The sequence below is a fragment of the Homo sapiens genome, chromosome 18 (assembly GCF_000001405.40).
Source record: "Homo sapiens chromosome 18, GRCh38.p14 Primary Assembly".
In the NCBI taxonomy this organism is placed as follows: domain Eukaryota; kingdom Metazoa; phylum Chordata; class Mammalia; order Primates; family Hominidae; genus Homo; species Homo sapiens.
The window spans coordinates 13368129-13394640 of record NC_000018.10 but is presented as its reverse complement, the minus strand read 5'-3'; the positions used below and the strand labels follow the sequence as shown (position 1 = coordinate 13394640).

The following is a 26512-nucleotide window of genomic DNA, read 5'->3' as shown; positions in this document are numbered from 1 at the left end:
CATCACGAAGTCTCCCTGCAGGATGCTCTGAGCATAAATAAAAAGAGCTGGAAAATGAAAGCTTTCAGCAAACAAACTCATCTGTCACATTAAATATTAATTGGAATGTTTCTGACTTTATAATTTTTATATTTAATTGCTTTGGATATTTTAGCTATTTAACAGCTATAAAAAGATATTTATAACTATCTTTATGTTGTACACACTCAAGTAACCTTAAAATAAATATAATTTCAGGCAATACTGAAATTATTTCTCATCCTTATTTAAAAGGGTAAGTACACATCTCGACATGAGACTACCACGATGCCTCTAAAAAAAAGATAATCACATTTGATTATCTTGAAACAGTATAGAATGGTTTACCAGGAAGAAAATGGAGAAGAGTTTGGTGCTTATGGGAATAACAACATAAATTATATGTTATTTACACACAGAAACGTTATTAATTAAGGTTAGGTTTATAACTGAGGACTAGATTCGAGGCTAACAGCATGAAGGAAAAACCAAGTACACATACCACAGAATGTGCAAATGGCTCTCTCAGCAAACTTAACTTCCCTGCAGAAAAAGCATTTGATATTTTTACAAAAAGCCACTATCAATCATTTCTACACCTACTAAATTGCAAGTAGGCAGACTGTCTAGGCTTCTCCTGTACACATCACAAAAGATTACATGGACCTAAGACAGATCCTGAAGATGGAGAGGAAGGTGGTGGAAAGAGAGACTCTGCAGGAAATGAGAAAGCATCAGCAACAGCATCCCATTAAAAACTGCACAAATGATTGATGGGTGGGCTCACAGTCACTGTGTCAGGAACTTTGGTCACAACACAAGAATGAAGGAAGGCAACTCTGGGGGCCTTGAACTCCAGGAAGAGGTGCCTGGACTCCTGTTATGAAGCAAGAAGCAGCCCTGGAAAGTTTTGGGGCAAGGGAAACTTATCACTAAAACCTCACTCTAAAGAGCATCGGCAGAACTAGAGAGAGGAGAGAACGGAGGCAGGGAGACGGTCTCATGACACTGTTTCTCTGCAGCACTTGACATACACCTGGCAAGAGCTCCGTCAATATTTGCTCAACAGAAGCAGCCCGCCGGGGACCACTGCATTGGCGCAGGTGGGACAGGCACACGGGAGCTGCAGATGGCAGGAGGCGACCCCCAAAACATTTGTGGCTTCTCCAGAGTGCGTGCTATGAGAAGCTGTCCCTGCCTGCTGTTCTCTCTAAAATGCCTTCCAGGTCTTGTCATTTGGAAAACACTGCCCGCTGCCTGCCCACCTGGGACCTTCATACTGCACAGCCCCATATTAAAGACTGAAAAGTTCTGTAGTAAAGAAACTGATTTAAGTTTCTTCTTCCAAGCTTTGGCCATTAATTCACCCCCACTCCTTTTATGGAGGAACAGCTCTCAATATCTCCTAAAGCGAGCATTCTCTGGGCAGCTCTGGAAGGCGGGGGCTGAGGGCATCCGTGGGTCAGCCACAGGTGCAACCTTGCAGAGGAGAGGGATGAGGAATGCGCGGAAGGTCTGTGGGGTGGGAAGGGCACGCCGGGAGCTGCTCCTGAACACAGCAGCCCAGTCACACCCCCAGCAAGCCTACATCCTTCACTCGGAGCCCACAGGGGAAACAGCTCCAACTATTCCATTTAAGTGATTCTTTTTCAGTCTCATTAGTGGCTAAGAAAACCTGGTCACCAACATCCACAAAATAGCACTTTCAGACAAAGACTACTAACTGCCCTCCTCCTCCTTTATGAGCGAAATAACCTTAATTTATTTAACAATTAGATCTGATTCTCCTTTCACCAGAAAGACTCGCTATAAATTCTATAGGAATTTGATTCACTTACCTAGTTATTTGAGGTTAAATGTTTTTCTCTAACATTAAAATAATTTAAAAAGCCTAAGAAAATTAATTGTGCAAAACCTCTGCAGCATCCAAGGGTGGTACCATGGGCCGGGAAGAGGCAGAATCTCAAGCCAGCAACCTCTTTAGGATGTGTACGGTGACACCCAGAAAGGATGCATTCCAAGTCAGTCAAAACCACAAGAAACCTCAGGTGAAATCTCCACCACTATGACGGCACCTGGGACAGAGGCCGGCGGACCCAGCCCGGAAGGGTCCCTGCTTCCCTCTGCTCAGAGGAACTGGGGGTTTGTTTTTAGGACAGCCAGAGTCTTATCTTTCCCAAGTCCATTCACCTATATCATTGCTCAATGAATGACAGCCAGGCAGAAAGAGGGCCTGGAAGCACAAAAACAGTAAGTTTAGGACATCTGTGTTTTTACATGCTCAAGTGTAACATGAAGGTGCTCCACACAACACATGGCACTCAGGCGGCCTTTAGAGCCGCATGCTGCAAAGAGCTTCACAAATGCCCTGTGAGGCAGGTGGGGGCCGCTCCACGCACAGCTGAACCGTGGAGGACACACCCAATTCTGAGCGCAGTCACTGTGAACAGGCAACTGGCAACAGAAGGAAACCAGTTTCAGCACAGCCTCAAAAGTTAGGATCAATCAATCCTTCTGGAAATTTAATTATAAGCTGTAACAGAATTCACATCTTTGGACCCAATAATTTTGCCTCAGGGAGTTTATCCTAAGGAAATAATCAAATATACAGAAGAGCTTTTATGCACAAAGGTGTTCATCAAAGCGTTATTCATAAGGGTGAAAACCGTCAAAAAGTGGACTATCCAACAACAGGAACACAATTTTAAAATTCAAGTACATGTACATGAAAATATTATGCAGCAATTTAAAATCGTATTTATAAGAAAAATGCTCGTAATGTAATGTTAAAAGGGAATGATCAAGTTACCATATTAAATACTATTATGAACACAGTTCTGTAGGAAGAAATTTGCAAAAGACAAAACTGGAAGGATGTAAACTAAAATGTTGCCCGAAGAAAGAGTCACATGGCAAAGATGCGTGTAGGAAATTATTTTTCTTTTGACTCTTGCGCTTTCCGAGTTTGCTTACAATGAGCAGATGCTACTTGTAAAAGGAAAAAATTAATTTTTGATATAAAATACTATCTAAATGACTAAAATCATTTCTAAATTGCATATGCTGAGAAAACTAAAAATAATGTATCAATTCCTGTATGCAAGCATTCACCTAAGATCATAATTAAGAAGTTAAATACGCATCTATGTGAGTATACCCACACTCACCCAGGAGGCACGAGGTCAGAGTGAACTCCATCACACAGGATTGCCAACGTGGCATGGGGACAGGGGCCTTCCAAACTCCCACCCCCTTCATGGTACTTTCACACGCTCCAAACAAACGCAGCTTCATGGCAGGTCTCCCAGCCCTCCCCCACAGCCCGAGTGCTGCCCAAAACCCTCTTAAAGAGGAATTCTGAGCCTCTACCCTCCAAGAGAATTGGAACATAAAGTGACAAATTTTAGTGGACATATGGTTAACTGCCCAGTGATGTTTGCCTGGCCCTAAAACAAAATTTAAAGCCTAGGGAAGATGCCTCAATGTCTTATCTAAGGCAAGACTCCTTTCTATTAGCCCAGAGAATCAGCAAAATCCAAAATTTTAAGAACAGCAACCCAACTAAGGCAGTGGGCTGGGCACCGGACTCCTGAGCGCCTCCTTCTAAAGCTACACCTTCACCCAGCTGCCTGGGCAGGCAGAGTGTGTCAGCCCCTGCATCCTACATCACAGGGACTCTTGCAAACTATGTGGGCAGACAGATGGGAAGGGAGACCAAGAATAAAAATGATGAGCCAAGTCTCCAGGGACCCAGCTCCAGAGAAGGCCAGGCGCTCACATCTCCTTATTTCACTGCTGGTTACTTCCTAGAGAGAGATGGGGAAGCTAAAACTGCCACCCTGCAGGTGCTGGCGCACCCAACAGTGTGAACACTATTCAACACATGATGGTCTGAGAACAGGCAGACCCATTATTTTGATCCCCCCTGCTGAAGGAATGGCACAAGTCAGGTGATTTTTTTTTTTTGAGACATGACCCCCTCAAGCACCCTGGCCTCTCTCTGAACACTGCTCTGCTGGGTGCCAGCTCCCAGTGCTTCCCAGACTTTAAAGTGAGCCAAGCACCTAGGATCTTGTGAGGATGAGAGTCCTGATTTAGCAGGTCTAGGTGATGCCAAGACCAATTAAACCTCAGTCTCTGAGGGTGAGACCCAGGTGGTAGGGAAGCTCCCCAGGGAACCCGTGTGTACCCAAGGCCACACAGCGTGGGACAATCTGGAGAGGCCACTGGCACCAGCCAGTTCCTGCCTGCACTGAGTGTGCCCCGCGCGGCGCTGTGTTGGTGTGACACCTGGCAAAGGACACATAGCAGGAGCACGGCTCCCGGCACACTGTGGCTCCAAAACGGCGGCTGTGGCGAACACCCCACCACTGCCGCTGGCACACCTTGTTCCTCAGCCAGGCTGACACTGGGGGGAAGAGGCCAAAGTAAGGAAACAGATTCTTGGGAAACTCATAAATGTGAGCTGAAAGAGAGGAGCCAAAGTATTCTCAGCACAAAGAAATGATAAAATGTGCAGTGATGAGCAGAGCCCATTAGCCTGACCTGTTCACTCTACAACACATACATGTATCAAAACATCTCACTGGAACCTACCAATATAGAAAGCTTTTATTCATAAATTACAAATAAAAAAAAACGTGAGCTGGGGAGGAGCTACAAGTGGGTGACTGTGAGCAAGTGGGGAGGAAGGTGGGGTGACACAGGCCCCAGGGGTAGCAGCTGACATATACCTTGGCTTAATATGTGAGAGGTACTGTCCTATCTGCAAGAATCCTCCAGGCAGAACCACAGGATTCTGAGTATTCTAAACAGAGCCTCAGTTTGGCCTTTCCCTTTCCTTTGGGGCAGAGGTATCCCCAGCACCCCAGAGTGTGAGGATGGCGTGGGTGTCTCAGTGGGAGCCACGTGGACCACCATCAGGTGCAGCAGGGTGAGGAGACGGCCCCAGAACCCTGGCCTCTGTGGGCCACCCTGTGGCCTCCACCCTGCCGTCAGGTCCATGGTCAGGGCAGCTTCCTAAGAGTGTGCCACTTTTCCTCGGGCTCTTTTTGTCCCATGCTCACTTCCTTTTCTTTTCTTGTTCCCTCTTCCTCCCAGAACTACTCTGAAGAGCTTCTTTACATCAAATCCTAGGTGCCGCTCCTCCCCAGCTGCCTCCTGGGGTGTGGGGAGAAGGGACAAGGAGGCTGAGCACACACCCAGCCACTTCTCAGTTGCTTCTGCTGCCCACCCCCACCTGGAGGGGAGGGGTATCCACGAGGGAGCTGCCCACCCCTGACTGGAGGGGAGGAGTATCCACGAGGGAGCTGCCCATCCCTGCCTGGAGGGGAGGAGTATCCATGAGGGAGCTGCCCATCCCTGCCTGGAGGGGAGGAGTATCCACGAGGGAGCTGCTCCTGAGACGGAAACAGCTGAAGCACACACAGTAAGGATGAGGAAGGACAGGGTTTCTAGACAGCTGGGCTGCAGGTATGAAGATGGTTCAAGAGAGCTTAGCTTTGCACGTGCTCCCCCAACCCTTCGTCTACACAGCTGCAGAGTTCATCCACATGGGCCATGACCCGCACACCACAACCTGGGAGGAAGGTGTACACAGCTGCGGAGCTCATCCACATGGGCCAGAGAATAACCAGCCCCTCACAATCCAGAGGGAGACATCTACACAGCTGCCAAGCTAACCAGCACGGGCCCTGACCCACCTCCCACAACTCGGGGAAGGCACTGTCACTGAGACCCCATGTCACAGACTATGTGGTGCAAGCTGCCTCAGGAGGTCGCCTGCAGGTGCGCACGGAAGCGGCCGAGGTTGGGAAGACCCGTCCCCTCGTTCTTCCTTGGAGAGGCACCACAGCGGCGCTCCATCTCTTCACGCCGAAGCCACGGCGACTGCGGAGGAGTGCAAGGCTGTCTAGGAGCTGACATCTAATCCAAGGAGAAGGCCCATGCCAATCAAGCCTGAGCCCCTGCCCCTCTCTCCAGGCATCCCAACAGCCTGACCTGCTCCCTCCACAAAATCTGAAAAGCTGCAAACTTCTGGGACTCACGGAACCAGAGAATAGGGTCACTTCTTGTGACTATTTCTACCATCTTTCTCTTAAATGAAAGGCAACCTCCACAAAACCTCTTTTATGTAAACACATTCTCCCTGGATTCCATGAAGTTCCTCAATGTCACGGAGCCCAGTCTGTCTACGAGGAGCCAGAGGCCCAGAGGATTAAGTGGCTTCCTGGAATGTTACATGAATCAGACAAAAGAGCCAGGATCCAAATTCAAAATCTCCTGTGTCTTGGGCGAGGGCTCTGGGCACCAGCCAGACTGTGTGGTTCCCTACAAACTGCCAGCCAGGGCCAAATCACCAGCACACTGGGGTGTCCCACTTCTCCCCGCTCACTGCAAGACGAGTTCTGCCCAGTTGCCCCAAGCACACAAATAAATGTGAGAAATTAAAGATGGGGAGGCACCAAGCACACATCGGCAATTAATCTTTTCCCTCGGAGAATCTTCCCGGTTCTGTAAAGAAACCACACTTCCCCTACCCTCGCTCAGCAAGTGACATATTTCCTTAGAGAACAGAGACTTGGAAGACGCTGCGAATACTGCAGGATATTGTGTGTATCCTATCATTCAACAAAAACAGAAGCAAAAAGTGTCAAACACTTTTTCAAACTGCTATTGAGAGAGCGAAGGAAAACACATTATTATTTTGTCAGAATCAGTCACCACAGCAGCCTGAGCCCTTGACTGCGTTGGCCTTCAGCTCCTGACTGCAAAGGTAGGTTCACTGCATGCAGTGGTTTGGGAGTTTATTGCCTCCCAGGAGTGGAGGCAAAGCCTCGGATTACCTGGAGCATGCTCACCTGTGAAAGCATTTGTGGCCTGAAAACCAGCTTCCGGCATACTGCTCCCCGGACAAGCCTGTGCTCCAACTCTTGCGCTGTCCCGTCGAGGAAGCCGCCGGGCGAGGCTCAGGTCACTTCCATCTTAGCCTGTCCAAGTCCATCGCTCTGCTGGGCCGGCCTCTGGGAGCATCCGCGGCCCACCTGCCCGGCTCTCGCGCGGGCGGGCGGTACCTGGGTGTGGCACCTGGGCGGCGGCGGTCCCTGCTCCCGTCAGCCGTCCAGCCAGGGCGCGGAGGCCATGGCGCGGGTGGAGGGGCTGGCCCTCAGGCCCTCAGAACACGGGCGCCCCTGGCCACGCCGCTGCCAGCATCCTGCAGGGTCGCACCTGCACGCGGGTGCTCCTTGTCCCAGCCGCAGCTCTCTGTGCTCCGCCTCTGAAACTGAAAAGCAAGAGGTCACTTTCCTGATGACCAGCAGAAGCATTACAATTAACAGGCTTACACAGGACAGAAAGGAAAAGCCACGGAGCTGCCTCCACGACCCCACTGTGGGCATGGGGGCTCCCACAGGGGCTGCCAGGGTGGGAGGAGATCCACCTGCCCCCAAGGCCACAGCTATGCTCCTCTTAAGGTTCAAATGTCCCTCCTGGGCCATTCTGCCCTCACAGACACCTCGGGGAAGAAACTCATTTCTCAAGCTGGTTCCCAAGGCCTTAGACTGGGGTCTGTGGTGCATGGCCACTGGTCAGCACTCCAGGAAGAAAATGCAGGACTTGCATGGAGCAGTTTTTAAAAGTGATTCTATCTATCTATCTTATCTATCCATCCATCCATCTATCTATCTATCTATCTATCTATCTATCTATCTATCTATCTATCTATCTATCTATGAATGACAGGGTCTCACTAAGCCGCCCAGGCTGGTCTCCAAACTCCTGCCTCAAGCAATCCTCACAAAGGGCTTGGCCTCCCAAAGTGCTAGGATTATAGGCATGTGCCACCATGCCTGGCCTAAAAATGGATTCTTAAAAGGAAAACAAATGCCCACATTAACTTTTTAGTGAGAATAGGAAGGAAAAGCAAATTTAATCTATAAACTGCTCCATATGTTACATAACAATAGAAGCATTTTGCCTGTAATCCCAGCAATTTGGGAGGCCGAGGCGGGAGGATCACCTGAGGTCAGGAGTTCGAGATCAGCCTCATCAACATGGAGAAACCCTGTCTCTACTGAAAATACAAAAAAATTAGCCAAGTGTGGTGGTGTATGCCTGTAATCCCAGCTACTCGGGAGGCTGAGGCAGGAGAATCACTTGAACCCGGGAGGCGAGGTTGCAGTGAGCCAAGATCGCGCCATTGCAATCCAGCCTGGGCAACAAGAGCAAAACTCCATCTCAAAAAAAAAAAATAGAATAATAATAAAAGCATTTTACAAAATGTTTTTCAGATATTTTAATGTTCCATTAAACATAAAGCAATATTAACAAGAATGACAGAAGCCCAAAGGATCAGACTTTTAAAACAGAATCCTGAATATCAGTCTCCAATATTCAGGAAAAGAAACCTCTTTTATGTTATCACTTCATCCTAATCAATTTATAACCAACTTTTAGAAAATGTAATCTCATTCTTCTTTTTCATCATCAAACTAAAGAAAAAGAACTTAAGAGAACAGAGCACAGAACAGAAAGGAGCCCTCTGTTAATCACATGTTGCTATAAACAGAAGGTAGTGAAGTAACACATCACTGATACGTACTAATTACAAGGAGTATGTTATAAATTAATGAAGTACTTTAATGATACTAAGACATCCAATTCTATTACCTTCATGTATCTATAGTAACATTCTCAGTTAATAAGGTATGGCCCAGTAGGAGTCCTCAAGTTTAAAGAACAGGTAACATTTTAATTAAAAAATAAATTATTTGTGTAAATGGTAGCTTTGAAGTGCTTGAAAATGTGAGAAAACATTTTTTCTCTGAATTCTAACATTCCATCTAAAAATGGCCAACATGCAGGTCCTACAGGAACTTCGGAAGAAAACTAGTTGCACTAGCATCATGAACTTTGGGAAATGGAATTTATCCTGCCAGATAAAAACAGAAGCCCACCTGCCCTAAAGCTTTGATTTTTCTCTGCCCTTTTCGATGATGCTTTTGGTGTGCAAATATGCTAGACTTTATTTGTTCTCATTCTCTAAACTCAGAGAGAAAACCAAACTGCAGGGAGGTTTTTGCTGTTGTTTTATTGTGGGAATTTTGTCTATTTGTTTCATTGCAGAAGTTATGCTACCTCACTTTTTTTAAAAATCAGGTTATCATAAGGAAATAATCAACAGAATGAAGAGACAACCGATAGACTGGGAGAAAATATTTGCAAGCCATACTTCTGATCAGGGCCTAATATCCAAAGTATGTAAGGAACTCAAACAACTCAGTAGCAAGAAAACAACCCAATTTTTAAAACGGGCAATTACCTGAAAAGATGTTTCTCAAAAGAAGATATACAAATGGCTGACAGATATATTAAAAAATGCTCAACATCTCTAAGCATCTGGGATATGCAAATTAAAGCCACAATGAGCTATCACCTCACACCCATTAGAATGGTCATTATCAAAGACAAAAGATGAGAAGTATTGGCAAGGATGTGGAGAAAAGGGAACCCGTGTACACTGTTGGTGAGAATGGAGACTGGTACAGCCATTTCGGAAAACAGTATGGAGGTTCCTCAAAAGACTAAAAATAGAATCACCATATGATCCAGCAATCCCACTGCTGAGTACATATCCAAGGAACTGAAATAGGTATGTCAAAAATATATCTACACTCCCGTGTTCATTTCGGCACTATTCACAATAACCAAGATACGGAAGCAACCTAAGTGTCCTTCAGTGGATGAACACATAAAGACAACATGGTATGCATACACAATGGAGTACTATACAACCTTTAAAAAGAAGAAAATTCTGTCATTTGCAACAACATGGATGAAACGGGAGGACATTATGCCAAATGAAATAAGCCAGGAATTGAAAGACAAATACTACATGATCTCACTTATGAAACGGATGGACATTAAGCCAAATGAAATAAGCCAGGAATTGAAAGACAAGTACTACATGATCTCACTTATAGGTGGAATCTGAAAGAGTCAATCTCACAGAAGGAGGGTAGAAAGGAGATTACCAGAGGCAGGAGGAAGAACGATGAAGAAAAGGGAAATGTTGATCAAACATACAAAATTTTCAGATGGACTGGAGGAATACGTTTTAGTGACGTACTGCATTGCATGGTGACCACAGTTAATAAAAAAAGTATCACATATTTCAAAATTGCTAAAATAATAGATTTTTAACATTCTTACCACAAAAAATGATAAGTTGGTGAGGTGATGGATATATTAATTCATTTGAATTGAATATTTCTACCATGCATACATATACCAAAACATTACATTGTACCCCACATATATGCAGTTATTATTTGTCAAAATGTCAATTAGAAAAATGAAGTTATCATACATCCCACATGTCAAAAGGCTATGGGAAAGACTGAGGCCAATGTGGATCAAAATAGAAGAAACAACCAACTTCCCAGTTTTCTTATGCTGGCTTAATCACCCCCACCAATCCTTAACTTTACATCTTCTAAAAGAGAGGTTGGACACAGGTGTGTAATAGCTCCCATGAGGTCTAAGCGTGGTCATGGCCAGGATTTTTAGGACAGTGATGTGTGCGGTTCCCAACAAAAGCAGGGTGAACACAGCTGTGTTACCGCATCAATGGATAACGTGCCTATTCCTATATACACTCTGAGTCTCCCCCAATGCAATTTTCAAGGTAAAATGCAATTATAAATGCTGTAAAAAGTCTTCTTTCTCACTGCTAGCAACAAAGATTAGCTACCCTTTCTAGGAATACGCAGCAGAGGTGCAAGCTTCGTTCTGCTCAGTGAAAGACTGTGACCACCCAGAAGGGGCCAGAACCCAGCGGCACTCAGTAAGTGTGTCAGGTGACCAACAGGCAGCGCAGGGTGGGTGATCAGGACCCAGAGAAAACTCTGAGGGCCAGCACAGTCAGCAGAAGCCTGCAGGCCCTGTTCTGGACAAGACGTGTGCTTTTAGTTTAGAAACCAACCAGCAATCAGCACAGCCATGCTGGGCATCTGTGGAGCAAACACGTGGAAGGGTAAAAGTTGGAGGAGCTGAACAAACGCTGCTTGCCGGCCGTCCCTCCAATCTTCTGCTCTCGTGAGCCTCCTGCTCATGAGCTGCCACTCAGCTTTCCAGTCTCAGCCCAAACAACCCTCCCTGGAGATGCTTCTTTGATGGCCCCCAGTCTAAGTCCAGACCCTGCTACACAACCCGCAGCACCTGGTCGGCTTCCCAAAACATCTGCAGTTGCGACTCCACACGGGTGTCCTGATTGCACCATGCCTGCCCGTCTCCCCCACAAGTGCCATGAGAGCAAAGGCAGTGGCCAGCAGATCCTCCAGTTCCCCTTGGCACCCAGCAGGTGCCCAGTAAATACGTATTTCCTGAGCGAACACATGAGTGAAGGAAGACACTTACGTGAAGCTTCCCTGAGTACTATACACAGCGCAGAGAAGGCTCAGCAAACACCTACACAATTAACCCAGCCCTAGCTGCGCCTGGCAAGGGGCATTTCCCAGGTGGAGGTGCTGCTCCTCAGCCTGCTTGGCTGGGACCCTCCGGGCTGGTTTTCCCACCACCCCACTAGAAGAGTTGAGATGATGATTACAAGTGGTGAGCCTGCTGCACTTACACTTCCCACAAAGTCCTATCCAGCAAAGGCCTTCAGAGGTCATTGACTTAAATGCCCTCAGGCTACAGAGAGAGAGCAAGCGCTGCCCCATGGAGGCGCAAGAACTGCGCCCAACACTGGCAGCAGGAGAGCAGGACTGACCCTGGGCCTCTTGCCCTGAAGGCACTGCTTCCCATGCTACTCCTGAGGCCCAGGAAGCTCCCTAAACCCAAGTAGCTTAAATCAAGAGAGAAGGAGAGGGGGGAATACAGGAAGAGGCAACTTACCCAGGACGCAAGGTCACAGTCAAGATCCCCCCCAAGGCAGCAAGCACATGGTCATCATTCTACACACACACGCACACACATGCACACACGCACACACACGCACACACACACGCACACACACATGGAGGTTCTATTTATACTGGGAAGATGGGCAGGACTAACCAGGAAATAAATTAATTCAATATTGCACTTGAAAAATGTCATTAAGTCCCTCCCATAACAGAGCAACAGTTACTAAGGAAATAGAGCACGTCAAATGGAAAAACACCCCCACAGGAAGGGACATTTTAAAAACATGAACACTCACAAACCTAACCAAGTAAGTTACAGGGTATGTCTGCCTTACCAGTTATTCACAAAAACTTATATGAAACGCAGTCCTCCTCAGAGTCATTCAGGAATACAAACTGAACTGTGTCCGTATTATATCTTTCATTAAAAGACACTGTAAAAACAGATACATGGGGTTCAGGAAATGTGAGGGTCACACAGGGGCACGGAGGCCAAAATCCAATGGAGAAGTGAAACAGCCTTTTTTCCAAAATCAAAGTAGCACTCAAAAAACCGTAGTGCATAAAGAATTGACGCTGCAGTTTCATTTTTTATTTCCTCCTGCTGTGGACAGACTGTTTCGCTGGCGGAATGTCGGTTACCTAGGTGACAGCTCCACAGCCATGGCGACTGCTCCAGGCCCCACAGACGCTCAGGGCCGAGCCCCGGCCTGTGGATGCCGATCCCTGGCCACTCTACCCACCAGAGAAGTTCCAGGGAGAAAGGAACGCTGCCAACCAAAGAGGTCATTCTAAACCTCGGCAAACTGGGGCTCTGCTGCAAAATTTAAAAAAAATAAAAATGACCATGTTTGAGAGCTGCACGGCACAGCTCACCTATGCATCATCTCACCCTATGTTCATTTAGGATCAAAGAGGCAAAGGGCTTGTCATGAGACAGATGGGAGAAAAAGTGGGGAAAAGACCCTTGAGAAGCTATTTCCAACTTGAGCTGGGACCAGGTGTCCCACCAAGGGAGATGTCACACGTCTCCATGTGAGTGCCTCAGAGCTCATGGATAGTGCAGACCTTGGCAACGGCCAGTCAGTCTCAAGATCTCCTAACAGTAAAGAAAAGGAGGTGCTACAAATAAAACACCTCTGCCTCCAGGCAGCCAGCCGTAGGCAGAGAGCCCCAGGTAGGGGACCCACTCTGCTTCTGGTACCCGTGGTGACTCCCGGCCCTGGCTCCCATCTCCTCTTTTATACAATGAGGAGGTGAAACTGGAGGTCCCTCCCATTCCAAAAAGTCCCCTATGGCCATGTCTCTGGCCGAGAGAGAGGGCAAATGGGCATAAAAAAGGATACAGTGGGCGGGCACGGTGCCTCACGCCTGTAACCCCAGTGCTTTGGGAGGCTGTGGCAGGAGGATTGCTTGAGCCCAGGTGTTTGAAACCCACCTAGCCAACATAGAAAGTCCCCATATCTACTAAAAATATAAAAATTAGCTGGGCATGGCTGTGCACACCTATACTGGGGAGGCTGAGGCAGGAGGACTGCTTGAGCCCATGAGTTCAAAGCTGCTGTGAGCTGTGACTGCACCACTGCACTCCAGCCTGGGCAACATAGCAAGACCCTGTCTCTTCAAAAAAAAAAAAAAAACTAAAGAGAAACAAAAGAAAGGGACACAGTGCAGAAGCACAGAAAATCCACATGGAAATGCAAATCTGAGAGCAAGTCAGAGAAACAGGCTGCCTATAGCCAGGGAAGACTGAGTTGGAGTGTGATGAATTTTTCATGCTACTTTTCATCTCTGTGATGTGGGGGGGCAAAATAACATGTAGCTTTTGTAACACAACCTCCAAGCCATCCTCACCCTGGGTAGCTCAGTGGGATCTGGTTACTTGTTCAGCATAATGTAGTTCAGGGTAGCGTAGTGCCTTGCTGTAGGTCACCAATTCAGGAAGCAAGTACAAAACCCAAAACATCGATTCAAAGACACACACAGGCTGCAAACAGGAAAAGCAATAATTATATTAGAACATTCTTTAAAATGTCACCTTGACAAATCCAACACTTGATAAATCCTGAGGCTATATTCAAACCAAGTTGGAGAGAGTTCCCCCTAAAATAAACAGGATAACTGTCCTTAATGCATTAGTAAGTCTATAATTATCGACTCATATGATCTAGCAGCAGAGGAAGCCGCAAGGAGTCATATATCCGACCCCTGTGCTTTGTGGAGGAGGCGATCCAGAGGCTCAGGGAGAGGGGACAGGTTGAAGATGAGTGTGGGAGGAATGCAAGCCAGGGCTGGAACCAGGTGTCTGGATCCTGGCCCAAGCTTCCAGTTCCACTGTCTACACACAGCGGCCACAGGAGACACTGGCTCAGGAGGGAGAGCCTGCAATGCTAGGAAGACAGCCGTGCACACCTGCACCAGCCGCTCGCTGGGAATCAGGGAATACTGGGAAGATCTCTGCTTTCCAGGGCCCGAACCAGGCCATTCCCACAGCACCCACATGCACAAGGGAATGGGAAAGGGTCAGGGCTTGGCCCAGGGGCAGATGATCCCTGAGCAGACGTGCATTCTGGTCTGAGCCCGGTCTGAGCACATCACAGACACCTCCACTGTGGCCACCAGCCAAGCAGCGGCAATGCCCCTCCCAACCCAGCCCCACCCCCGTAGAGGTTCTGCTCCCACTGTGGCCTGGCGTGAGGGCTCGGGCTGACGGGCAGGGGGCTGGCGGGCAGGGGGCTGGCGGGCAGGGGCAGGCCTCTGCAATCCTCCACACCCAGGGATCTCCCCCACTCCAGCTTTCTTCAGATAAAATCAGCTTAAAATGGGCATGACAGGCAAACAAGAAGGGGGTCAGACCATAGGCTAACAAGTGTGGGCAGGAAGGGAGGGGGAGCTGTCTCATTCTTTGGTGGGAATAGAAAAGAATATGAACCGACAAGCTGTTTGTACGAAACAATTTTCATCTCCCTTGCCAAGCCACTCCTTGCTGTCAGCTCACAGCAGGCTTCCCTGGGACACCTGTGCCGGCCCACAGTCTTCCCTGCTCTCTGGCCTGCAGGACGCCACCAAAGCTGCATCTCTTCATTCAGTATTTCAACAGCTATTTGTGGGGTCATTACTCTGGCAGGCACTATTTTAGGAGCTGGGGAGACAGCAGTGAGCAAAACAAACCAAGCTCCTGTCACCATGGGGCCCAGATCCTTGTGTCTCGTCTGCCTCTGCAGGTGTTTCTGGACAACGCTTCCTGATTATCCTTGGCATTGACCATGGGGACTAGAATACAGCAGGTACCCAATAAATGCTGACTGTACTGCACAGAATTCTAGCTGAGCCTCAGCTAGGTCACCTCCTTTTCAATCTATGGCCTCTGTCCTGCATCTGGGCACCACACACAAGTGGCTGCTGGCCTGGGGGTGCCCCATGGGGGACATCGTGGCTGGGAGTTTACTGCACAGGCAGTGCCCAGCCCCACACTGTTTCAAACATGCTCAAACAAGAGCCTTATACAAAGGGGCCAGAGGACAAAAGTCTGGGCTCTGGCCACATTGGGTTCACCTCATTCTAGGCTGTGTGTGACTTAGGCAGTTACTTAAAGCCCCTGAGCCTCAGTTTCCTTGGCTGTAAAATGGAAGCAATGATGGCACTGGCCTGATGGAGCCATTGTGTATCTAATGAGAAAACACAAACAAAACCCTAGATCTAATGAGGGCTGGAGAAGTTACCACCCCTCCCAAATTACTACAACCTGCCTCAGCAGATGGCCGATGAAATCGCGTCTCTAACACGGCTCAGCCCACCCTCTTCCAGTTCTGATCTGACCCAACTGATACAACGTCAGATTCATCTCCTAGTTCCTCTGCTAATTTGTCTTGATTTTTTTAAAAAGTTCCCAATAGATAAAAATCAAAGCTCAAATCATTCCATGCCAGCTAAAATTAACAACAGAGAGAAACAGGAGAAAGGATACAAAATTAGAGAAAGTGTGTGGGTGAGGTTTTTGGTATGAAATGTGGTAGAATAGTAGAAGAGGAAAAAAATGTCAAGAAAGAAACTTGCCTTTAAAAGGAAAAAGATAGAGGCTCTTGATATTTGATTGGCTTTTTTTCATGTTTTCATACTGAAATATAACATTTAAAAAGCAGCAATAGAAAGAAAAATAATAAATTTGACCAAGTTTTTACATCTCCTTCTCGGAAAATCATCACGCAGGGTCCTGTCTGCTGTTCTTCCGTCTCTTTTCTTGTGTGGTTTGTTCCCTTGGTAAAGTGCTGACCTTTTAAGTTCTTCACATGCACCTCTCAAGCTTCCACACAGCCCTGAGAACGAAAGATGGCACAGAGAGGGCAACAAACCACCCTTCTGACAAGTAGGGTGCTCCCATGCCCCTCTGCCGGGCGAGGCAGCCTGTGAACCTGCAACTGTCCCCAGGAGCAGCTGTCACAGAGTGCAGGGAACTCAGGGGAAGGCTGCCTGGTCCCTAACTAACGGGGCCACACCAGGACACGCAGCAAAACACCCTACACCTTAAGGCTCAGACAAACTGATCAGCGATATAACAGCCAATGTTCCCTACAGAAATGAACGATCAGAGTCATTTCAGTCGCCTGCGTTCACAAAGCCTCCTAAGCATTCCTTGTTCACCAAGCTCCAAACCAGCTCCACAAGTGCCTCTTAAATCAAACACACAGGGAACAGCTGAGCTTTCATGAAGCACTTCTGTCTCATTTGCTCACATTCATTATCTGAGGAATATATATTCCTTTAGGACAAAGAAAAACTGTCCACTTTATATAATTTTTCACAACTCGGTATCCAATTCAAGGTGAGTGGGGGTGGACAGAAATGCTCCAGTAAGACTTTTCTTAGATATTTCCAGGGGAGACTCTGTGTTGTCTGGGATGGGCCTGCGAGGCTCTGCCTATTGCTCCATGCAACTTAATGTAGGCTCAATGGCGGGTCACGCTCGCGAAGCTCTTGGGACTGGCCAGCAGTTTGTGCTCTGGCGGAATGATGACTCCTCACTGCCTGAGTATGTCCATTATGACAAAAGGTAGGGGAAGTCCCACTTTCCTCTGGAGAGAGGAAGCGGTTTCTATTGCCTGAAGAGGAGAAACAGATACAGGCCCATCTGATATCCTCTTAGAACTTAAACTTCGGTTCAACCACTCTGCTATTTCTCCCACTTAAGGGAACCAGAAGAAGAAATTATTTGCAGTTAATCGCGTGCCACCCTAGGAAAGTCATGGGTTGTACAACCACCTGGGAGAAGGCACGGGCACTCATCTAAGAGCTAAAAAAAGATAACCTCTAGACCAGCCTTTCCAAGAATGACTTGCAATTCAAGCAGCAAAACCATCATTGAGGCAGACCAAGTTATGGAAACAGACGTGACGCAGCCTAGTCAGTTCATGTTGGTGAAATAACTTAATCTGGCCACAGAAATCCAAGGAGATGCATATTTCAGCCGATGTCTGAAGGACAGAATGCAAAACAGTGCTGTCAGAGGATGGCTCTGGCGTTGATGTTACCGGCAGTGAGCAGACCCAAGAGTGTGACAGAGGAGCTCTTGGGTGTGACACACATCAAATGCCACCTGCGGGGCCCGGCACACTAAGCCTTCTGACGGGTAGTCCCGACTCGATGCACCTTCAGGGAGCACTGAGAGAGCTTCCTGACTTCCTGCAAGGCCAGGCGAGGCAGGATGTGAAAGTGCATCTGTCCCCAGGAGCAGCTGTCACAGAGGGCAGAGAACCCAGGGGAAGGCTGCCTGGTCTCTAACTAATGGGGCCACAAACCCCACCGCTGTGTTCTGGAGGCCTCCGGCCAGGCAGAAAGAGTTCATTAGACCAATTTCCACTGCCTTGGTAACGAAGGCCCGTGCGTGTGCTCTCACACAGGAAAAGCAAGTGAGGGTTATTCATGGGGAAAGCACCACAGACAGGTACCATGTATCCCGCCAGGCAGCCCAGGCAGCGGTAAAGATACGTGCCCTCCTGGAAGACAGAACTGGCCCCTCTGGAACCGCGTGTGATAGAGCAGTCTTCCACAGCACCGGACGCCGAGGGTGTGCTGAGTTTGCTGGGCTTCAGAGGCACTGATCGGCAACTGCAGGAGCCGTCTCATCCTGAGCTGTGCCCTCACCCGCAGAAGAAGCCCCTGTGTATACCTGATGCTGAAAGGATCTGTCTGTCTTATATGTCCACCGTCAGATCCAGGCAGGAGAATTCCTGGGATCCACCAGAGAAAACCACAGGATGCCGCTGGCAAGAGGGAATATAACTGCCATGCTTGGCAGCTGACGCCGCTGTTCATGGGGATGCACAGGCTCTGAGAGGCCTTTCATGATCTAAGCGACCGTGGGCCGCGCCAGCCTGACCGCCAACTTCCTCTGCACGGAAAGTCATGTCTTCTTTAGATTTTTCTTTTTCCCTCTCAGAATCTGGCCCTTATTTATTCCCTTCCCCACTGGAGTTGACAAGTAGGAATCGATTTATTCCAACCCCTACTCTGCATGGAGACCTAAGCACATTTCTTCAGACAGAGGCCAGTGCCCGCACAGCCTGGGAGGACAGGCAGGGAGGGGCAGCTTTCCCGCAACAGACAGCAACCTCGTGCCTACCCTCCCTCCCAGAGTCTGATGAAGTGAACACAGTTCCCTCAAACGGCAAGAACGAGGACTTGATTTCACTCCTCCAAGGAAAGTAAGCTGCTGCCACTTTCACCAAGATAATCTGGGCCACTGCTCCCCAAATATCCCCAATACCCCAGGCAATCACCAAAACTACCCTCTATTTTTACTTAAAAACTAGATAATTAACAAATACACTTGAAATCGGGAAACACACATACGCCGGTGGACAAGACCAGTGTTGAAGAGCAAGGCGCTGGCGGGCGGGAGGAAACGAGGAGGAGAAGGCCTCCCACCAGGTGCAGGCTCCCTGGCAGGGAGGAAGAGGGTGCTGTTCCCTGACTGTACAGAGGGAAGGGAGGGAAAAGCAGAGCACCATGATTGCCCCAGTAAACTCCACTCCATAACTGAACACTCAGAGCATTCACTCAGGCCAGGGCCTGCTTAGATTAGAATTTAGCTTTTCATCTTCAAATACTTAAATAGGTCAGCATCACTTTACTTTGTCCTTACCACCAACCCAAGCCTCCCCATCTCACTCAGCTTCGGCCCTGCCCTGACCCAGCAGGCCCTCATTTCCAGCCCAACACACAGAGCCAGCTGTGACTCACTCGCACTGCCGAGCCACAGGGATTCCCCACGTCGGAGACATCACTCCTATCGAAATGACTCATCTCCTCACTTCCTTTGAATAAAAACATGTTATTATGTTCAATAAAACCATACAAGAAATAATAACTAAAGATGGCATTTAAATAACTTATACCAACACCTAAAAATGGCTTCCTGGAGGAAAAGGGAATGACTGGCATTTTCAAGGATATTTTCAGACCTCCTCCTTTTCTCCTCCTTTTCCACCGGCCTCTCCTCCAGATGAGTCCTGGCTGCATTCAGAGCTGCACGGACCCCTGGCCTAGAGGTAAACTTGGGCAAAGCAGGTTTTACAGTGAGCACAGAGGCTGCCATCAAAATCTAAAAGCAGTCTAGCTGCTCCACTACCGTCCCCTTCCCTTCTAGTTCCCATGGAAACAGACCTCAGATCGCCAAAAACCGGGTAAAGATAGCACCATGCCCAGTGTTCCCGCAATCTGTTTCCATGGGAACAGGAAGGGAAGGGAGTGGAGGCTGGGTGGCTAGACGCCTGCAAATCTCCATCCCCGTCATGGGGCTGCAGACGGCACCTACACACAGGTCCAGGGCCTGGGGTGCTCTTTAGGAATAAGATGTCCACTTGGGGATAGAGTCCTAAAGATGAGGCTCCCAGCAGCTGGGCTGTGTAATTGAAGCTGCTGCAGACTTCCAGACACACACCTAGCAGGTGCTGGCCTTCTCAATCGCCCCTCAGCCAACAGGGATGACCATTTCAGAGCACGGGTCCCACTCCTGGCTGGGTGGCAGAATCACCCCAGACCAATTGAATCACTATCTGTCGGGGCTGGGGCAGGACTCTGCAGTGTCTCATCAGCTCCAAAGGTGATTCTGATGCACGGCTGTTCTGGGAAAGCGAAGATCCAGACCAGAGCTTCCTGAGATTAAGGTGCCTGCAAATTCCGGGGATGTGGTGACTGCAGATTCGGTTCAGCAGGTCCGGGGCAGGGCCCAAGAGGCTGCATTTCCAACCAGCTCCCAGGGGATGCTGATGCTGCTGGGGACCACATCTAATTAGTGAGATTCTAGACTCCAGGTTCTTTGGCTCTAGAACCTTCTCCACAGACCAACAATGGACAGACAGCCACTCCTGCATGAGAGCTTGCTCCCATCGGCAGCCTGCAGTCCATGACCCAGCTCTGGCCTCCACAGGAGACTGTGTGGGGTCAGGGCTGAGAGGGCTCCGGCCTCCATAGGAGCCTGTGTGGGGTCAGGGCTGGGAGGGCTCTGGCCTCTGCAGCATCCTCTGCTACCTGTGCTATCCCAAGAGACGACCTATGTGGGTCAGAAGGTAACAAAACAGCCAACATTTACGTGTAATTATCAGGGACACATGACATCACCTCCAAGTGTGATTTCTCTAAAAGGTAAAAGCAAATTCCACGTGGTTGAGGATCAAACGTACACATTTTTTCTAAATATTTCACACATTTCCACACGTTTGCATGGTGGAAATATGTGAAATATTTAGAAAATATTTATAAATGTAGACATATTATCAAAGAAGAATGGAACTGTACACGTGTCATTTTAAAAGAAATGAGAGAATTTTGGAAAACTCTGGAATTTATTATAAAAAATAACTAAGGTAGCTTTAAAATCCAGTCTAAATGAAAATGTACAAGGTAAAAGTATACTCCACGTTTCAGCTAAAAGTGTGCTGTGTCACAAAAAAGTAGCATTTATTTCTACACTGAACTGCAAAATACCACATAAACTGCCAGGTACTATTCAAAAGCAAGTTACTGATTTTCTATCCATTTTGCTTAAATATAAAAGGGGAGCTATTTCAGTTTGTTTTACTAAATACACTGTCTCCTTCAAAATGCATATATTAATCTCTGAAAATGAAAATATGAGCAAAGATCTCAACCATCAATCATTGAATTATAGTATAAGCTTACTTGAAAAAATAATCTTCTGATTCTAAAAATGCAAAAGAGGAAAAATCAATTATTTCATTAGTCAGCACACAAGCAACAAAGATAGCTAAGCGTTTCTGCACAATCCTATAACTGTGAGCAGCTAAAGAAAACATTGAACATACAGTCTGTGACGCACATTTTCATTCCACTGAAGCAAAAATACACATATATTTATACATATGTGTATAATGTCATACACAAACTTAAAAAAAGGCCATGAGTTGGTGTTGAGACCCAGTTGCTTTTTAGGTTCTCAAAGCGTATAAAGCCAGAGCGCTACAACTGCTGCGATGAGAAAAGGAAATCAAAACAAGGGATTTCTGCCTTTGCTCAAAAGACACACACACACACACACACACATTAAACAGTTGTGGTAGAGGATGCCAAAGGAGTGTGAGCTGTTAAGAGTTCCATTAAAAATGATAAAAATAATTGGGAATAAATACAGAGATGTGCTTACACCCAGCTCCACTGAAATCTGTTAGTCTGCGAGACCCTAGCCAGAAAATCCGTTGTTGATATTTATTGTGTACATGTGTTTACTTTGAGTTTACATGAAGACGCAACTGGAGCCCAGACAGCAAGCTTCCCACAAAGGCCCAGATGGTGAACGGTTCTGCACAGGCCATGCCGCCTCGGCCCCTGCTCCTCTGCTCTGCCGAGAAGACAGGGACGCAGCCCCAACAGACAACACACAAACACATGGTGTGGCTACATGCCAATAAAACTTTATTAACACAGACAAGCCCTGCCCAGGACATGGAGCATGAACATGAAGTGCTGAGTACCGGACCATACCCTCCTCATCTTCAGTGCAATGTCTTATTCAACTTCCATTCCACAGCTTCAGGGAAGGGAGGGGAAAAACCCTGCAGAGCTGGCCTCATTTCAGTTTCTCAGTCACCCTGGAGGAACCTCCAGGACACCCAGACGGCCTAGCATTCCCAGCACGCCCATCCCAGCTCTGTACAGCTGCCACCAATTAACATAAATAATTGCTTGTTGTGTGCTGTTTTGTTCTCTGTATTTTTCTTGCATTCATCTTGTCTCTTTCATTTCTTCTAATAGTTCAAGGGCAAGGTGTTTTTATTTGCATTTTCCCTTAGAATTTAGCTTAGTGTTCAGCAAAAGATACTGCTGACGAGCAAATCCTCTCTTCCTCTCAAAAGGTAGGTAAAAGTAAGGCTAACCAGGAAAAAAACTACACCACCTTTACGTGTACCCCCAAGGCAACTGTGGTAGAGAGGAACAACCTCCAGGTCTGCCCTGCGAAGAACAGGTGCACAGGGGTGTGGCTGCCAGCACTTCCTGAGGGCAGGGACCGGCCTTTCTGATGGCATGCCTGGCAAGGGCACACGGCAGTGCTTGGTGAATTCGACAATAGATCAAGTGTGATGAAATATATGGTAAACTAACCTTTTACATTTGAGCAGAATTATGGCATTCAGGAATTAAAACTGCTCTTAAATATCATCAACTTTAACTCACCGTCCCATGTAAGTAGAAACCATGGCTTGAGTGTCTCTAGACACTCAAGGGCTGGGTCCAGAGCACAGTAAAAGCAGGGTAAACCTAATGCTGTTCTAAATGTGATACAGAAACTCTTGCTATTTAAGGAATCCTATAATGAAACTTCCTTCATAAATAAAGACATGAATTAGTAAAAAGATGTTTGTTGCTAAATTCAGCAGTTCCTTGACTGTGGGTTCTCTTTTTCTCTTTCTCTCTCTCTTTCTCTCTCTCTCTCTTTTGAGACAGAGTCTCACTCTGTTGCCCAGGCTGGAGTGTGGTGGTGTGATCTCGGCTCACTGCAACCTCCGCCTCTCGGGTTCAGGCGATTCTCCTGCCTCAGCCTCCCAAGTCACTGGGATTACAGGTGTACACCACCATGCCCGGCTAATTTTTTTGTATTTTTAAGGGAGATGGGGTTTCATCATGTTGGCCAGGCTGGTCTCCTGACCTCAAGTGATCCACCCGCTTCGGCCTCCCAAAGTGCTGGGATTACAGGTTTGAGCCACTGCGCCCGGCCAACTGTGGGTTCTGATGTACTCAGCCTCCCTAGTGGACAGTGCACCAGTGCACTCACAGGGTTTATGCTAGGGAGTACAACGGTTCACAGCAACGCGGCGGCAAGGGCTTAACATTTGTGAGGTGGGCTCCAGCAGCAGCAGGGCATGGAACACTGGGCTTCCTGGGGCAGCCCCCCATTCTTAGAGGTGATGGCAGCAGTCAGCCCACACCCACAGCATTTCCCAGCCCTGGCCCCCCCATCTCAGCCTCTGTGTGGCTGCTCCTCCTGGAGCCTGGGTGTGAGAGGAGCACAGCAGTCCCACAGCCACCTGTGCCAGAAAGGAGAGTCTTCCCTCAGCCTCCCACCGCATTGGTGGGCGCATTGCCCACCGGCACCCGGGTTCTCAGAACAGAGTCCGCCAGGAGCCACAGCTTAGTCTGAAAATTCTGGCAATGTTTTCCGGTGAGAAAAGGTAGGAATTGAGAAACATGAAGGGGGCCGGGTGTGGTGGCTCATGCCTATAAACCCAGCACTTTGGGAGGCCGAAGCAGGGAGATCATGAGGTCAGGAGTTTGAGATCAGTCTGGTCAATATGGTGAAACCCCGTTTCTACTAAAAATATAAAAATTAGCTGGGTGTGGTGGTGCGCGCCTGTAGTCCCAGTTACTCCAGAGGCTGAGGCAGGAGAATCGCTTGAACCCAGGAGGCGGAGGTTTCAGTGAGCCAAGATCCCACCACTGCACTCCAGTCTAAGAGACAAAGCAAGAATCCATCTCAAAAAAAAAAAAAAACAAAACAAAAAACCATGAAAGAGACACTGCCTACATCTAAAGGCAGCATAAGGCCCAATGTCACAGAAAATGGCAGTCTCCATGGAGCATTTCCCGCGGTTTCTCTGGGCCACTTCCGCACAGCAAGAAACGGAAAGGGTGCCATCTCCTTATTAAACTATATGGTGCCGCTGTAGAGTCCCTGACACAGAGCAGGTACCCACCAGAGTCACTAGGGGCATCAACACAGTCAGCTCAAATCAATAAAGGCAAACTGAAAATTAGATTTAAATAACGTCTTTAAGATGTGGTTCCACAGGTCCATCCTCAGCCTGTTCCCCTCGGTGTCCATCCAGCACAGCAACAGAGACCACAAGCCCCACCTCCGGACCCTGGACTCCATGTTCCTATAAGACAATGCTTTCCAAACTTCGGATTGCAACCCATTAGTGGTCTATGAAGCAAATGCAGGAGTAAGAACAAATACATCTCAGAAGGTGAGGGCAAGTTCTTCTCCAGAAACTTCTGTGCAGTGGTGTATGAATGTGTGCTGGCGCATGTATTTTGCACTGTGACTCACAGTCCTGATATGAAACCCACTTCTTCCTGGAAAATACTTTGCTATGGACACAGCTCCCTGTGTGGCAGGCCACCTGCAACCAGGAATTTAATTAGTGCGTTGGCTGAGGATTAAAAATGTCCATGCATTGACTATTCCATGCTAATGGAGACGCATTCTAGTGGCAAGAGCGCAAAACCTCCCAGAATCCCCCACAGTTCCAAGCCACGGCTCGCTCCTGGGTGGCAGGCGTGGTCAGGCTGCAGGGCGGGGCTGAATTACCCTTCCAGTTGCCTCTGATTTGAGAGGAAACAGAAGGCATGGGAGGAGGCATCTGTATCTGTGTGCGTAAGCCCACGTGGAGTTTATTACCAGACGCCTGGCATCAGAAGAAAAGACACCAAGGAAAGGATATTTATCTAAAGAGCATGAAGTTCACTCTCAATATTTACTCAGAGGGAATCAGAGCATTTATCCAAGGTGCTGCAGTGCAGGGGCGGCTCTCAAAACACACATCTGCTCAGATCACTTCTCTGCTTAGAACTCTTCAAAGGCTCCCCAGTGCACTTCAGATGCAGTGTACACTCCGGGGCACCTGTGTCTTCTCACGGTCCGAACACTGCCTCCCTTCCACTCTCATCTCCCTCCACCCCAACTGGAGACCCCGTGCCATGCTCTGGCCATCCTGAGTACACCAGCAGACGCCCACAGTGCCCCTGCCAGCAACTTTCTCACCAAGACCATGGCCGCCCACCCAACAGCCCACTGAGGCCAACAGGCCCCCAGGCTCCCCACACGCATGCCCTCTTACAGAGCGCCTGACACCTGCGCATATTTTTCCCTTTTCTGTCTCCACCAGGTTGGACAGCAACTAGAGGGCAGAAAATGCGTTTCATTCCTACACCTCCAGCACCAAATACAGGTGCTCTATAAACACTTACTAACTGAAAAATGACCAGATCACCCTAAGAAGGTGAGTAAGTGGTCGCTATGATCAGTTCCCACGTCCCCTGCCTGTGAGCCCGGCCTCAGCCTGGGGTAAAAGCACACGGTCCTCCCATAGCCAGTTCCCATAGTCAGCTTCCACATTCCTTCTATAGCCTGACGTCCAGCTCACCGCTGACACACACGGACAATGACTGAGCTGGCTCTGGCAAAAAAGATCATGGCTTGGCCTGGCACGGTGGCTCACACCTGTAATCCCAGCACTTTGGGAGACCAAGGCGGGAGAATAGCTTGAGGCCAGGACCGCTGAGTCCATGAAGGCCAGGGCTCCTGCCACCTTCCCCATGGCCCTGGGCCTCTCCACTCTCCAGTGTCCCCAGGTAACAAAGATGGGACTTGAAACCTATCAGAGTGCCAAAGTGTATGGAAGAAGGAATTCAGGAAGAGTGCAAATTAAGCTAGTCATCAAACAGCCTACACAAAGTTCAGGTGAGCCTTTGGCCATGAGCATCCTCCAAAACTGAAGATGCTCCCAAACAACCTGGTCCCCCAAACCCACATAAAAGTGACTGGAGAAATCTCAATGACGCAGGTGCAGGAGGCACTCTGTGAGTCCCTGGAAGGGCATCCGACACACAGCAGGCTCACCCCCAGGGGAGATGGACAGGTAGAGTAATGGATGGATAAAATCAGAGTTGCTTTCGGTGGGAAAGCTGCTTTATGCCTATGATTTTAGTATGTGTTCACTTTAAATATGAAGTTCTGGTGTAGGCAAGGCTGTGCATAACTGCAGCTCCCTACACAGAAAGCAGGCATCCCTGAGACAGGCCGGGGCAGTGCACACCTCACATGCCCACAGTGCTGAGCCCACGCCTGCTCTTCAGACACCCAGGCCCCCGTTCTCTGCAGGGCCCCCGACTCTTCTGTTCTTCCTCTCTTGTTCCTTCTTCCTCCTTAGCTCATCCCCCAAAGTCCCACACTCAGCTTCTTGTCGGCTCCCTCTAGAAACTTGGCTTCCACGCCAACCGTGCGCCAATGCCACCAAACCTGTCGCCTGGTGCAGGAAGCATCCCCTGGGCTCCACACCTTTATCTGCTAGCTG

At 48.3% G+C, this 26512-nt stretch overlaps 1 protein-coding gene across 43 annotated transcripts in view, besides 6 other annotated features; it reads right to left on the bottom strand.

Annotated features, from left to right (window-relative positions):
* Nucleotides 1–26512, bottom strand: part of LDLRAD4 (low density lipoprotein receptor class A domain containing 4) — a 435073-nt gene that overhangs the window by 258114 nt on the left and 150447 nt on the right. For 41 of the 43 annotated variants that reach the window (NR_172142.1, XM_047437773.1, XM_047437776.1 and 38 more), the window contains one exon: nt 6879–7300. Coding sequence is in view for 38 of the 43 variants with exons in the window: in XM_047437773.1 (XP_047293729.1) it covers nt 6879–6918 (40 nt within the window). In the remaining 5 variants the exon portion in view is untranslated. Of the gene's footprint in view, nt 1–6878; nt 7301–11913; nt 12058–13778; nt 14503–26512 lie in introns of those variants that run through there. The other 2 variants (XM_024451258.2, XM_006722354.2) reach the window with 2 other exon arrangements.
* Nucleotides 12508–13132: an enhancer, noted in NCBI's record as "H3K4me1 hESC enhancer chr18:13381508-13382132 (GRCh37/hg19 assembly coordinates)". NCBI's record gives its function as "activates a minimal SCP1, AML or CMV promoter by ChIP-STARR-seq in primed H9 embryonic stem cells {active_cell/tissue: H9 hESC(primed)}" and the evidence as "EXISTENCE:reporter gene assay evidence [ECO:0000049][PMID:30033119]".
* Nucleotides 13824–14323: an enhancer, noted in NCBI's record as "H3K4me1 hESC enhancer chr18:13380317-13380816 (GRCh37/hg19 assembly coordinates)". NCBI's record gives its function as "activates a minimal SCP1, AML or CMV promoter by ChIP-STARR-seq in primed H9 embryonic stem cells {active_cell/tissue: H9 hESC(primed)}" and the evidence as "EXISTENCE:reporter gene assay evidence [ECO:0000049][PMID:30033119]".
* Nucleotides 14324–14825: an enhancer, noted in NCBI's record as "H3K4me1 hESC enhancer chr18:13379815-13380316 (GRCh37/hg19 assembly coordinates)". NCBI's record gives its function as "activates a minimal SCP1, AML or CMV promoter by ChIP-STARR-seq in primed H9 embryonic stem cells {active_cell/tissue: H9 hESC(primed)}" and the evidence as "EXISTENCE:reporter gene assay evidence [ECO:0000049][PMID:30033119]".
* Nucleotides 16797–17091: a silencer, noted in NCBI's record as "tiled region #1453; K562 Repressive non-DNase unmatched - State 21:Repr". NCBI's record gives its function as "represses a minimal TATA promoter and a strong SV40 promoter by Sharpr-MPRA in K562 cells {active_cell/tissue: K562}" and the evidence as "EXISTENCE:reporter gene assay evidence [ECO:0000049][PMID:27701403]".
* Nucleotides 18324–19523: an enhancer, noted in NCBI's record as "P300/CBP strongly-dependent group 1 enhancer chr18:13375117-13376316 (GRCh37/hg19 assembly coordinates)". NCBI's record gives its function as "activates an origin of replication core promoter dependent on BRD2, BRD4, P300/CBP, MED14 and CDK7 cofactors, with strong dependence on P300/CBP, by STARR-seq in HCT116 cells {active_cell/tissue: HCT116}" and the evidence as "EXISTENCE:reporter gene assay evidence [ECO:0000049][PMID:35650434]".
* Nucleotides 19194–19323: an enhancer, noted in NCBI's record as "active region_13115". NCBI's record gives its function as "activates an Ori minimal core promoter by ATAC-STARR-seq in GM12878 lymphoblastoid cells {active_cell/tissue: GM12878}" and the evidence as "EXISTENCE:reporter gene assay evidence [ECO:0000049][PMID:35858748]".